This window comes from Homo sapiens, chromosome 3, assembly GCF_000001405.40.
Source record: "Homo sapiens chromosome 3, GRCh38.p14 Primary Assembly".
Taxonomy (NCBI): domain Eukaryota; kingdom Metazoa; phylum Chordata; class Mammalia; order Primates; family Hominidae; genus Homo; species Homo sapiens.
Window position 1 is genome coordinate 130,251,496 of NC_000003.12, and position 15,414 is coordinate 130,266,909.

Here is a 15,414-nt window from a genome sequence, read left to right on the forward strand (position 1 = left end):
TGGCTAATCTTGGGCAACCTATTCTGTGCTATGTGCCTCATATACATTATCTTACTTAATGAGTCCCACAACTCTGTAATGTAGGTGTTATTGTTTATTTCCAATTCCAGGATAAGAAAACGAGGGCTTATGGAGGTTAAATATATCATCAAAGGCCAAATAGTTAGTGGCAGATATGGTCTGCCTCCAGAGCCTGTGCTTAACCACTATGCTAAACTATATCATTGGAGGTCAGAGAATACAATTTTCTTCCTTTTTAAAAACCAGAATATAACATACATACTCATGTAACAAAGTGGGCAAAGTGCAGTAATTTTAAATGTACAGATGGATGAATTTTTATATATGTTTAAATCCCTGTGACGGATACGTGGTTCAAGATATAGAACACATTCAGTGCCCTGTAAGTTTTCTTCATGTTCTTTGTGCAACCATAAAGCAGTCACTCCCCATGGTAATTGCTTCTCTGAGTTCTATCACAATCAAGTACTTTTTGCCTGTTCTGGACCGTCATATATTGGGTCATACAGCATGTACTCATTTGTATCTGGCTTCTTCCAGCCAGCATGGTGTCTCTTCTTGTTCCTCCATGTCGTGTGTGTGGGTAGTTTGTTCTTTATTATTCCTGTGCAGTATTCCATTGTATGTATACATAACCATTTATTTACTTATCTATTCTCCAGACTTTACTTTCCTAATTGAAACCCATGCAACACACTCTGATGGAATATCTGGGATGATTTATCAGAATGAAGGGCGATTTTCTTCTTAAGAGATTCCAGGCTGCTTATGAATGTTAGGTTGGATCATGGGATATTGGCAATATTTCACCAGTTTTGAGCTGCAGAAATGGAAATGTTACATGGTTCAACATAACAGCTAATCAATTCAGCCCATTTAATTTTCTCTGAAGGTTCAGTGTGCAGCAGAAGTGGTAGGTGAGAGATTTTGTTGACACAGCTCTGAATATGCACATAAGAATCAATAAAGTTGTGACAGCTTCCAAACTGTGGGGAAGGATGGACAAAATATCTTGAGTTGAGAAAGTTAAAATGCAGAGAATGAGTTCCTTGTTCATCCTTACATCCCTCTTGCCTACTATGATGTCTGTACAGGGGGGGTTGGTAGGGTACATCCTCAAAACTGCTAGAATGGATTTATAAAGGCAGGGTATAAACAAATAGCTAATTAAATTAGAGATGCAGCTTTTGTCTTTGGCTCTCTCATCAATAGTGAGGTGCCTTTGGACAAGTCTCTTCACCTTTCTTGGTCTTATTTTACTCAGCTCAAAAATGGAGAGGGGTTGCAACTAGATATTGTCCAGGCTCCCTTCCAGGTGTAATTATCAAAGCGTTTATTTCTCAGGAAGGGATTTCCTTAACATTTGGAGAGTGATTCCTGGGGTGTGATCACATCCCTCCAATGCTCATCAGTGCTGCTCTCTGAGAGGGAATCTTGGGCAGACAGTGTTGGGATCTTGCACACAGATGATCCTTTGTTGTGATGTTCTTGCCCTCTTAGTTGCCTTAGGTTCTGAGTAAAGGGATATAACGGTATGTGAGAAGGTCGTGCCAGCTTGTGTACTTGAACCTCAGTTCTGTCATTTCTATCTGCTCTCCTCTTCATTTATTGGACATATTCTTACCCCAGGATGCTGGGAGACAACTTCGTGTTCTTTAAATTTAACAGTTTACAAAGCATGTTAAATGATACTTGCCAGCTCAGCTATAATGAGTAACCTCATTTCTGGTGACATTGGTAAGGAGAGAAACTGTAAAAATGACAACTGCATTCTCAGGACCTTTCAGAAAATCCTCATTTCTTCACAACTGGGCAGAAAATTCAGCCCTTAACCTCCCCTACTCTGTTCCTCAGCCTTAGCGGAATCCAGTTAGGAGAGTGGAAATATCTTGTGATTTTTCTTCTGAATTATCTGCCTGAAGGCTTTCTTTGATTATGTGTGGGGCTTTGTCTTTCACCTCTATGTTATTTTGATTTTCAGAACAACACCCACATGCTGCTTCTGGAAAAATGATGGTTGTTCAATTTGAAGCAATTATGTAAACAGATGTCCTAACTTCCCAGTCCATTTAAACATGCTTAGAAGCTGTGGTGCATATTGAAAAGGTTTATAAAGCCATCCATGGAGTTGTCTCAGACCTAAATAAAACTGCATTATAACATTTGGACTTTCTGTGCCTAATCCCTTTGTTAAGAAATGTCACATGGACACAGGAAGGGGAATATCACACTCTGGGGACTGTGGTGGGGTCGGGGGAGGGGGGAGGGATAGCATTGGGAGATATACCTAATGCTAGATGACACATTAGTGGGTGCAGCGCACCAGCATGGCACATGTATACATATGTAACTAACCTGCACAATGTGCACATGTACCCTAAAACTTAGAGTATAATAAAAAAAAACAAAAAAAAAACAAAAAAAAACTAAGTTTTAGAAATAATATTGACAGTATACTATATTCAAATAAATGTTGTTAAAACATGAAAAAAAAAAAAAAGAAATGTCTAATTGCCTTATGTCTCAAAAGAAGACTTCATTAGACCCATTTTTTTTGGCTGTTTTATTATTTTGTTTTATTTTATTTTTATTTTTTATGTATATTCTTTTATTATTATTATTATACTTTAAGTTTTAGGGTACATGTGCACAATGTGCAGGTTAGTTACATATGTATACATGTGCCATGTTGGTGTGCTGTACCCATTAACTCGTCATTTAGCATTAGGTATGTCTCCTAATGCTATCCCTCCCCACTCCCCCCACCCCACAACAGTCCCCAGAGTGTGATGTTCTCCTTCCTGTGTCCATGTGTTCTCACTGTTCAATTCCCACCTATGAGTGAGAACATGTGGTGTTTGGTTTTTTGTCCTTGCGATAGTTTACTGAGAATGATGATTTCCAATTTTGTCCATGTCCCTACAAAGGACATGAACTCATCATTCTTTATGGCTGCATAGTATTCCATGGTGTATATGTGCCACATTTTCTTAATCCAGTCTATCATTGTTGGACATTTGGGTTGGTTCCAAGTCTTTGCTATTGTGAATAGTGCCACAATAAACATACGTGTGCATGTGTCTTTATAGCAGCATGATTTATAATCCTTTGGGTATATACCCAGTAATGGGATGGCTGGGTCAAATGGTATTTCTAGTTCTAGATCCCTGAGGAATCGCCACACTGACTTCCACAATGGTTGAACTAGTTTACAGTCCCACCAACAGTGTAAAAGTGTTCCTATTTCTCCACATCCTCTCCAGCACCTGTTGTTTTCTGACTTTTTAATGATTGCCATTCTAACTGGTGTGAGATGGTATCTCATTGTGGTTTTGGTTTGCATTTCTCTGATGGCCAGTGATGGTGAGCATTTTTTCATGTGTTTTTTGGCTGCATAAATGTCTTCTTTTGAGAAGTGTCTGTTCATGTCCTTCACCCACTTTTTGATGGGGTTGTTTTTTTTTCTTGTAAATTTGTTTGAGTTCATTGTAGATTCTGGATATTAGCCCTTTGTCAGATGAGTAGGTTGCAAAAATTTTCTCCCATTTTGTAGGTTGCCTGTTCACTCTGACGGTAGTTTCTTTTGCTGTGCAGAAGCTCTTTAGTTTAATTAGATCCCAATTGTCAATTTTGTCTTTTGTTTCCATTGCTTTTGGTGTTTTAGACATGAAGTCCTTGCCCATGCCTATGTCCTGAATGGTAATGCCTAGGTTTTCTTCTAGGGTTTTTATGATTTGAGGTCTAACGTTTAAGTCTTTAATCCATCTTGAATTGATTTTTGTATAAGGTGTAAGGAAGGGATCCAGTTTCAGCTTTCTACATATGGCTAGCCAGTTTTCCCAGCACCATTTATTAAATAGGGAATCCTTTCCCCATTGCTTGTTTTTCTCAGGTTTGTTAGACCCATTTTTTTAAGTTAAAAAGCAGAGGATTACAAGGAAAATGCAATTTGTGGCCAGGTTTCAAATTTTGTTTTTCTTTATAAAAAGTCTAGCCCATGTTCCCTTGAAACAATGCCTAATAGCTCACATTTATTGATCTAGGCACTGTTCTAAGATCTTATTGAGTCATTTAATCCTCACAGCAGTCCAATGAGATAAGTGTTATTATGAGCCCATTTTTCAGATGATGAAACTGAGACACAGAGAAGTTAAATAACTTGCTCAAGGTCTGGAATTCTCATTAGCAATGGGATTTTCAAAAGTCAAAAATCAAAAACAGGAAAAGAAGAGAGACTTTAGAAGATTTAAGTTCTTTCCCTGTATTTATCCATTTTATCTTTACAATAACACAATGACACAGGTCTATGAATTGGCCCTATTTCGAGTTCTGTGTATTGCTCTTAAAAAAGAAGGCCAAGCAATGGAATGATAGCTATAATGGGAGGCAAACAAAAAAATCACCTTTAGAAGCTGAAAACATTAAGAGAAAGGCTAAATTTTGGGGGTATATTTTTGTATAATTTCAAAATTCAGATAATTTCAGTAGGACATTCTTTTCTATTTTGGGGAGACAATAAAATATATGTATTTATTTTTATTTTATTTGTAATCGACAAATAATAATTGCATATATTTATGGGGTATAAAGTGATGTTTTGATACATATATACATCATGTAACAATCAACTCAGAGGAATCAACATATCTAAAGTTGGGAACATTTCTTTTGAAGAAAGGTGGTCTTGGGTTATGCAGTTAGGCCCTTTCAGAGAAGGCCTATGGCTGCTCTGTTCTCCGCCAGACTGTTAATGCCCTAAGGCCAGGACCAGCACCAAAGGAAGAATTAGGCAATGAGGCTTCAAACCGTGGTTTTGTCCCTTATGTCATCTGGGCATGTTATTTGGCAGTGGGGCCCCCTTAATTTATTCTCTGTAAAATGGGGATAAACTCACAGGATTGTTGTGAGAATTATAAGAGATGGTACCCACAGGGATACCTGACACTTTCTATGTGTTTACTCAATTGGGTCACTATATTACCATCTTCTTGAGGTCTATAAGAATGCCCTTTGCGCACTATTTATTAAATCTGATAGTGAGTGCCTATGGAGTTCCAGCCACCATGCCACATGCTTTCCATGCCTTATCATCCCAACCCCTCCCTATTCAAAATGTGGTTCAGGGACCACCACCAGCAGCAGCATCACCCAGCATGTGATGCCTTTCCCCTGATGGAAGCGATCAGGATCTGTATTTATAACAAGATCCCCAGATGGTTTGCATAAATGTTAAAATTTTAGGAGTATTGGTCTGAGCCTCATAGCTATGCTACAAGTTAATAATGATAATTGTACATTTCCCAGATATGTGAAGGCCAGAGGTGAAGTTACTTGTTCTCAGCTACAGAGTCCTGAAATTTGCATTCAGATATGGCTGGTTCCTAAGTCTCACTATACAACCTAAACCCTTAACCCAGTGCTGACACCTAATGTTTTCCAAGGAATCTAGGAAGAGTTGGCTGTTTCATGGCAGTCTTTGGTGGGACCATGCCAACTGGAAGGAGCCGAAACTGGACTCAAGCTCCTGGGGTCAGTCACGGGTTACCTGGCTACTCTCTCCCTCTGTCTCCTTCCCCCTACTTTTTCCAGTTTGCTGTCCTTGTTTCTCAAGTCCTTACTTCAACTTGATGACAGATGGTTTCTAATTCTCTCTCCTTAGGGTCCAGTTAGTTCTTCCTCTGTCCAAGGCAAATCCTCCTTTCTAGCACTTGCTTCTTTCTACTGTATTCTCATCTTTCCAAGCCAAGAGACTCCCCCAACTCAGTCCCAGAGATGAACATTATCCCATGGCTTCTGGCAGCTTAGTACGACAGCTGATGCATTGACTTTAACCCACAGGGTTAAGTTTGAGTCAGGGATCATGGGGAGTTTTTTTTTTTAATGTTGAGAGTTGAAGTTTGAGAGTTGTCCTTGTACTCCTTGAGAAATGTCTTTCTGTCTATCAAACAAAAAAGGATGTTAATTTAACCCCTTTGCCATATCCTTTCCCCTCAATATACTCCTGTCTTTAGCACACAACTAGTCCCAACAAACCACAACTGGACATTTAGGGATGAAGTTGGTTGAGAGAATTGCTAAAGGTGCTGATTCAAACTATGGTAAAAATTTGAACCTCAAGCAGACCTCTTGGTTTATGTTAAAGACACACTCTACTGATATTTCCTTCTCTGGTGTTGATGGGACTTTGCAGTAGGAATCGTACACAGTTTTCTCCTCTCCTCCCACGCTATCTCGCTGCTTGAACTTTCTCAGGAAGTATCTTGTCTATTTTATCAGTGACAAGGACCATGCTGGCAAGTCCAAAGTCAAAGTAATTAAATGTTTATTAATAACAACTAGGTACAGATGAATCTATACTGAATCATAGCTTCCCTGTGGACTTTTATCATGTTTTTGTTCCCACAATTTTGTTTTTGCAGGAACAGTACAAATTTTAAATATGATCATAAAATTGTTTGTTAGAAAAGGTTTTAAAAGGTAAGTGTTCAAATTCAGTGGAATTTGATAGTTTTCCAGCAAATATCTATAGAATAAAGATAGAAGAGTTATGTGCTCTGAGCTGCTTAAAGTGGAAAAGTTGGTGCATTGTCCTGATCAAGAAGCAAATAGAGAAGGTAGTTACCTAGGACCAGGCTGTGTTGGAAAATGAAGAGAACTCAGGGGCATTGACTCTTTCCCTAAAACTCTGTTGCTGAGGAAACTGAAGCCAGAGGTTTATCCAAGGCCACATAGCCAATTATAGCCAATGAAGGACTAGGACCCAGGTTCCTGACCTCTAATCTGTTAGTGCTGCACATAACTTTCCCTATGAACCATCTCTAAGACAAAGGAGAATGAATTTATACAGACTTGGGGGAATGTTCAAATTTGTTTGAAGTCTTTCATGCTACTTTAAAAAGTCACTGAAATTTTTGCATTTTATAATATACTTCACCCATGTTTCCTGTGCTTAAAAAATAACGTACACTAACTTAGCATTTCCCTACAACTGTCGGAGTAAAATTGATGCACCCAGAGTTATCGCAGCCTCTTCATATCTCCTGACACATTGCCATGAATTCTGGGTTCAGAAGCCTTCCAGATTGCCTCGTGTGATTTCCAGTACAGCTAGTGATGTGTCATATTCCTGCCTACGCTGTTTTCTCAATCCCTGGTGATTAATTAGGTCCATTTGGCTTGGTCAGTACCCAGATCTGATGATCATGTGCAGTAGATCTGAGTGTTGAATGTTGGCAGCGCTGCACTCACTTTTCATGCCAGCTTTCTTCACGTGGCAAGGAGTTCCACAGATGTGCGCCATGCAGCTGCAGGTTGGAGGTGGGTGTACGCTAATCTGTGGGAGCAAGAGCATAGAGCAGAACTCCAGAGATAAGCACAGTCCGCCTCTGGGCCTTTGTACATGCTGTCCCTTCACGCTAGAATGCATTTCCCTGCTTCTTTGCCAGTTAAATATCGACTTATTCTCTCAAAAGTGCCAGATGCCATAATTTTCATTAGGTTCCCTCTGTTCCTTTCCCTTGAAATGAAAATCTCCTCTTCCTGTGCTCCTTAAATATATTATTGGAGCTCTTTCTTGTTTGAAAATCATTTATCTATCTTTCTACTTGGATTTTAATCTCTTTGAAGATGTGGCCATGTCATCTTTATATCTCCAAATGGCTTGTTAATGCTTTCATGTAGTATCTGTTTAATCAGTCTTGATTGATTTGCATTTCTAAGTTAAGAAAAAGCCTAATTTAAGGTTGCTTTTGCCATATAAGGAGCAAGAGAGGATGCTTTTTGCTTTTATTCTTAGGAGACTTAGGCCTGTTCCCATGGTTTTCTGTGTTACGTTAGCATAAACATTGAACTCTTCATATTTCTTTTCCCACTAGGATTTTTTTTCAAGTAATCTGACTCTGAAAGACAATATTTGGGATACACTACAGTCCCGAGCAGAAAGAGTGAAGAGCTCTGTAATGTTAAGAAACTTTGTTTGCAAATTAACCCCTGACTGTCTATCTTCCTGAGGTCTAGCCTGACATCTTCATATCCTCAGCATCTAACATCTTCATATCCTCAGCATGTTGCTACCTGGAGGAGGGCCCAGAGCCTGCTTGTTCCTGCCCACACAGATGAAGGAGGAGAAGCTGACTCTCAGTGGGGCCCTTTTCTGCATGCTTTGCCAGACAGTAGATACAAAGATGGACATGACTAAGCTTAGACATCCACCTCTTTGTAAACCACACCTCAAATCTTGAGAGAAACATTTCTAGTTTCATCATGAGTTTGACATTCTGCAAATTGTCTGTATAAGTCATGGCAGGTTAACTGTGAAACCTTCTTTTCCAAGTCTCAGTGTCTTAACAAACATAAGTGGTTATTTCTGCCACCTGTCATAAGTGGATATGGGCCCTTGTGTATGTTTGTGTGGGAGAAGGCATGTTTTGCTACGTGCCACTGTTTTGGGATGTGGGCTGCTTCTGTCAGCGGCCCCATTATATCGTAGGGCCTCAAAGCCTTTTTCTGGATCCTCCTCACCTGACTGGCAGATGAGGGGAGAGGGAGTAATGGAGTACAGTGCATGCACTGGAAATGACATATGTCACTTCTACCTGCATCCCGTTGGCTAGACCCCAGTCAGTAGGCATCACCTAACTGCAAGAGGGGCTGGGAAATGTAGTCCAGCTGTGCCCTAGGAAGAAGAAGGAAGGGGTTTGCTGATCATCTAACTAGTTGACCCATGGACCTTGTTGGATTTATTGTTAATATTTTGCTTTTAAGCATTGTTATTAGTTGTTAAATTAATCATAATTGAAAAGGCTAAGTAAAGGAGATAAACTAAATAAAGGAGATAAATTTATATCTCTCTAAAGCCTTCCCTGATCCCTCTTCACTCTTATATTCTGGTTGTGATATGTTTAGCTCTGACCACCAGGAATACTCTAGAGAGGATTCCCACATGGTGTCTACTGTTTCCATTCTAATGGTATTTGACATTTACGACTGCCCCTTTGAAGAGTCTGCCATTCAGGTCAATAGCTCCCACCACACTGCATTCCGTGAACAATTAATAAAGATTTATGAAGTTTACAAATGATTTAACGTTGTCTCCTTACTCCCATTCCGATGTGTGATATTGGCTGAGTTTTACACATATTGGGAGTCTGAAGACCCACGATACACATACCCACACCAATGACAGTCCAACCTCCAGGTTAGAACTAGGGAACTAAATAGCAATAAATAACTGGAATGTATAATGCTGAGTTATTTGTACATATATTTATATAATTATATATCCTTTAAAAATCATATTCATGTTTTTCTCATCTGAATAAGAAAACACATGAAAAAGATGGCCTGAAATTACTCCAGCTAATCATAAACTTGAGTGTGTGTGTGTGTTTGGATTAGATGGATGGAACCAACAGATTTTACTTGTACGTCTGGGAGACAGAGCGCCAGCAGGATGTGGAGCACGTGGCCCGCTGTATTCTCTGCTATGGTAAGCCAGGACAGCCTTTAGAACAGGATGAATTCACTGGTGGCCACAGGCTAGCTCTGCTCGGCAGATGTGTATTTACTTGGCATGTGCAGGGTTTTAAAATCTAGAGAATTTCCTATGAAGTCTGGATTTCTGGTTTTTCTTAGGAAGTCAGACTTATCATGAGAGTCACAGACACTGCATTCCCATGAGAAACAGTCAGCACAGCTGAGTTGGGCCTGACCCCTCTTAATGGGGTGAGGAGTCTCACAGTCCTTACCCCTCCCTATCTTACTCCTGGCATGCTCTGCTCATTTATCTGTCCTGCTAGCTGCTGGGTTGGCTGGGCTTGTGGTTCCTGCCTTAGTGCACCTTAGTGTGACGGGCAGGCCACTGAACTAAGAATTAAGAGTGATAGGTTCTAGGCCTGGAACCACCATTGACCAGCAGTGGGATACTGGCCAGTCATCCAGTTTGTCTTGGTTCCCATCCTCCATTGCTGTATCCCACACCAACCTGTGCTGGAGAGAAGTTTCTGCTGAAACGCGTGCATGCCTATATGTGAAGAGCTCCTGTCCACACCCATTTTACCTAGCACCAGAGTGGGTAAACTTGAAGGGATGTCATGGTTTTCTGTGTTTGATCCACACTAAGCCCAGTACTACCACAAGATACTCAGCTATGACAACTTGGTCAAGTCAAGTGTAGTAACTGCCATTTGTGAGTATGTCACAGGTGATGAACTGCTTTCACATCCATCATCTACTGTGAACTGCTTTCACATCCATCATCTAATCTGACACATTGCTTTTTTGGGCCTCAGTTCCCTCTCCTCTAGAAGCCTAAACCTAGCTAGTGTTCATCGAGGTTTTACTATGCATCAGGCATTGTTTTGAACACTTACATATATATGAACTCAGTTTTTCTTTTAAACTTCATAAACAACCTCAAAAGGAAGTACTATTATTATCATCATCATTACCTCCATGTGTCAAATGAGGAAACTGAGGTTCTGGTAGACTAAGTAATTTACCCAAGGTCACATGCTGAGTAAGGAATAGACCTGGAGTGAACCAGGCAGCCGGGTTGCTGAACTCTTGACTATTACCCCTGTGCTTTGCTAATGACTGAATTAGGAGTTTTTAACCTTTCTTGGTATCATAGATCCCTTCTGCATCTGGTTAAACCTATGCTCTCCTTAGAATAATGTTTTTCAATGCAGAAAATAAAAAACAGGATTACAAAGGAAAATGATTACATTGACATTATCAAAATACTTAAAAATTTTGATATAGCAATATATATTTTTAAAAGTTTTATTTTTAATTGGCAAATAATAATTATATAAATTTTTGGGGCACAGTGATGTTTCAATGCATGTATGCATTGTTGAATGATCAAATCAGGCCAATTAACATAACAATTGCTTCAAATACTTATCACTTGTGTATGGTGAATATGTTTAAAATCCACTTTTTAAAGCTACTTTGAAATATACAATACATTATTACTGACTATAACACCATGCTGTGCAACAGACCACCAGAACCTATCCTTCTGTCTAACTTAAACTTTGTACCCTTTGACTAATGTACCTCCTTTCCCCATTCACCTCCCTGCCGCTCTCCCTATGCTCTATTTCTATGAGTTTGAACTTTTTATATTCCACATACAAGTGAGATCATACAATATTTGTCTTCCTGTACTCGGCTTATTTCACTTAGCATAATGTCCTCTAGGTTCATCCACATCACAAATGACAGAATTTCCTGCTTTTTAAAAAGGCTGAATAGTATTCTGTTGTGTATATATACCACATTCTTAACCCATTTGTCATGTGCTTCTTTATTAGCATTTTAAATGATAAGATCTAGCAGGTCTAATAACTATTATTTCAAAGTATTAGTGAGTGCAAATAATATTGAGCCATTTGCAACCACTGATAAGGAAATCAGTGATTTCTATTGGTGTCGGAATCACTGGTATTATAGTTGTTTGTTGTCTTTATGCACAGTGAAAAGAAATGTTAAATTTCATTTCAATAGAGGTAGTGAAAATAAAGATGTAATTTTTTCCCATCCTCATTCACAGACACCTTGGGAGACTGTGGTTCCCAGGTTAAGAACACCTGCCCCCGCCAGTTCTAAATGAAAGATTTTGGCCCAGCAGTGGGTCTCTAACACCGTTGTTCATCAGAATACCTGCATACATTTCAATGATAGATTCTGAGCTCCCTCCCAACACTACCAAACCAGAATCTTGACGTGGCTGGAGCCTGGGAATCTACAGTAAAAAAAGAAAAAAAAATTATACATGCCATTTCGATGCTGAACCAGCTTGAGAGCTCTAAGACTACACTATTAGCTTTTCATTTAAAATTGGCAATGTTTGATCTTTTTTTCTTAACCTTAAAAAAAAGGCACTTTCATATGGTCATTAAGGTCACTTGCAGCTCTAGCAATCAATGTTTTTTTACGTGGTTTCCCACTAGTGTTGATTTATCTATTGTTAGATTATAATCTATTATTAGATTATAATTATTTTTTGGAGGAGGAAATAGAGGTGATGTCTGTGAACACAGAGACTGGGAAGCCATATGGCCTAGTGGTTGAAAACATTAAGTGTGCAATTGATCTCAATTCTTCTTATGAGAAATGAGCCCATTTACAGTGCCCATTGACTTGCCACGTCACCACAATGCCTGGAGGATAGTGCTCAGAGACAGCTGTCCTTACTGAGGGTCTGGAACTGTGTTTTGCATGGAAAAGAAGGGGATGCGTGGTTTAACTCCGGCCTCTCCCTGCACTTCCTTCCTAGACAAATGCAGACCAGACCCAGAATGCCCGGCTGGCACGCCGGGGCCCCAGGAGGTGGACGTGGACTTGGTATTTGTGGTGGACAGCTCCTATGGAGTGGATGCCGACGTGTACCGCGGGTCTTTGAGTCTAGCGGACGCCGCGCTAGAAGACCTGGAGGTGGCTGAGCAGCCGGGCGCGTCCCACCGTGGGGCGCGTGTGGCCCTGGTGACGCACACGACACCCAACTTCTGGCCGGGTGTGGGTTGCCTCCCTGTGCTCGAGGGCTTCCACTTGACCACCTATGGCAACCGGAAGCAGATGCAGAGACATGTGCGCGAGGCTTCAGCCCGCCCCTTACAGGGAACCGCCCCCCCTGGGCCACGCCCTGGAGTGGACGCTGGAGAATGTGCTCCTGGCAGCCCCTCGGCCGCGGAAGGCACAAGTCCTCTTCGCCATCGTGGCCAGCGAGACAAGTAGCTGGGACAGGGAGAAGCTATGGACTCTGTCCCTGGAGGCCAAATGCAAGGGCATTACCCTCTTTGTGCTGGCCTTGGGTCCGGGTGTGGGGACCCATGAGCTAGCCGAGCTAGCCGAGCTGGTCAGTGCTCCCTCTGAGCAGCATCTACTGCGCCTACAAGGGGTCTCAGAGCCAGAGGTTAACTACGCTCAGGGATTCACTCGGGCCTTCCTGAACCTCCTAAAAAGTGAGCAGTCCCCGGGAACTGGGGCACCTTGGGTGGAGTGGGGAGAGGGATTTACAGAGCCTGGCATTTGGGCATGCAGGTGCCTGTTGCAGATTCACTATTGCCTAATGTTTGTAGCCCAGCATCCCTGGGAAAAGCCAGGGAGCACCCCATTTCCTGAAAACCCTGCACTATTACCGCCCTGACATTGTGTCAAGCCTTGTGATGGTTTTTTGTCCTGAACTTCTCATAGGGGAGAAGTTCATGGCTGGGAGCCTCAGACTTCCACATAACTTTTCAATTTTCTCATTTGTCAAAATGAGAATTGCAGTCTTTTCTCTAATTGTGAAGCCATATGTTCAGGGAGGGGCTTTGAAAGCACCAATATTGTACACATATAAGGCATAGTTACTGCTATTACTATTTATTACTGCAGTTTCCAATAGTATTTGACAGTGCTTCTTAAGTTTTTACATGCACATGAATCTCCTGGGGATCTTGTTAAAATGTAGATTGTGATTCGGTAGGTCTGCATTGGAGACAAGAGTCTGCATTTCTTACAAGCTTGAGAATGATACCAATGATCCTAGTTTATTTGATGTTTATTTTAAAGTAGAGGTTGACATGGCAGTGTGGAGTCAGGGGTTTTCAGGGACTCACTAGGAAGTAAGGGAGACAGGACAAAAGTCTAGGGTCTTCCATTTCAGGTTGGATTGATGAAGCCAACAGTGAAGATTAAGGGGCAAGGGCTGTGCCAGTGGGTCCTAGCCAGAATTCTTTCCCATCCCCCTGCTCGAGCATCCTTAACTCCAATTAGAACTAGTGGAATTGTTATTGTTTTTTCTCTTATAACTAGATGAGTTAAATTCGTGGGCAGCCAAATCTGTATCCCTAGCATGATAATGGAGATTTAGAATTGCGATGGCAAGGGTATTATCCTGGTCACATTGTTAGCAGTTTGTCTTGGGTTTCATCCTCCAGTGCATAATTCAACTTATGTGCAGGGTGCTTTGCTGTAACATGTGGAGCCTCCTTGCCCTCCTTGCTTGGAGACTTTAGTTTCTCAGTTTATAGGTGGTTGTGGTAGCCCACTGGGAGCCTTGAGGGACATCTTCGCCTTCATCACTATAAGAATAAAAGGAGTTTGATGGACATCTTAGAAGTACTAACACAGCATTTGTACCTCTCCAATTTGAGAGGTACAAAGATCAGTGAATTAGTTCTAGTCCTAGCTCTGCCATTAGTGAGCTATGTGATCCTAGAAAAGTTCATGAATGTCTCTGAACCTTAGATTTCTTATATATGTGGGGAGTGGTAATAGAAGGCTGATGGCTTAGAGATTCTTTGAAGGAGAAGCGGCCTGAAGGAATCACTTTTCTAATCTGTTTTAATTTAATTTTACTTTATTTTTTATATTGTATTATGTTAGATTGTATTTTGTATTTTGTTTTTCTCTTAGGTTGGATTTTACTTTGCATTATTTACATAATAGGATACATTTTATGTTTTTATTTTGTTTTATTTGCTTTTATATTATATTTATTTTATGCTTTATGTGAATATATTTTATGTCTTTTTGATTTTATGTCTTCCAGGATTAAAAACATTAATGTTTTATTTGCTTTTATTTTTATATTGTTATGTTTTATTTCATTTTGTTTCATTTGTTTTATTTTATATTTTACACTTTGTTTTACTTGATTTTATGTTTTGAATTTGATGTCTTCATGAATAATATTTTGTTTTATTTTATTTTAGAATTTTATATTATTTTATATTTGACTTGATTTTTTATTTTACTTTTAGGTGGGACAAACCAGTACCCACCCCCAGAGCTCACTGAAGAATGTGGGGGCCTACACCGTGGGGACACTGTGCTGCAATTAGTCACACCTGTCAACAGGTGGGTTGAGGACAGGGTTGAGATTGGTCCATACCTCTGCCCCAAGGCAGAAGAGACTTTCTCCCTAAAGAAAGGTCATATGCAATGCTAGTCCTCAACTTGACCTAAACCACTGGTCCTGGGATGCTCCTGGGTTTGACAGTTCTGATATGGATTGTCTTTCTTTTCTTTTCTTCAGACAGGGTTTTGCTCTATTGCCCGGACTAGAGTGCAGTGGCATAACCTCGGCTCACTGCAGCCTTCACTTCCCAGGCTCAAGCAATCCTCCTGCCTTAGCCTCTCACATTGCTGGGACTATAGGCCCATGCCAACACACCCTGCTGGTTTTGTACTTTCTGTAGGGATAGTTTCACCATGTTGCCAAGGCTGGTCTTGGCATTCTACCAATTTCTACCAATTTCCATTCTACCATATCGCCCCAAGCTTGAATTCCATATCCCAGAGGTAAAATTGATAATGCTAAACATATCATTCTGATTTTTCAAATATGTCTGCAAAGCTAAGAAAATAGTTAATGCAATAATACAGTCATTAGGAAATGCC

At 40.5% G+C, this 15,414-nt stretch overlaps 1 pseudogene across 1 annotated transcript in view; it reads left to right on the top strand.

Moving 5' to 3' along the window:
* COL6A4P2 (collagen type VI alpha 4 pseudogene 2) overlaps positions 1–15,414 on the top strand; it is a 60,987-nt pseudogene that overhangs the window by 38,676 nt on the left and 6,897 nt on the right. Inside the window, exons 20-22 of the transcript NR_027898.1 lie at positions 9,418–9,508; positions 12,305–12,989; positions 14,775–14,871. The product of NR_027898.1 is annotated as a collagen type VI alpha 4 pseudogene 2 (transcript). The remainder of the gene's footprint in view (positions 1–9,417; positions 9,509–12,304; positions 12,990–14,774; positions 14,872–15,414) is intronic.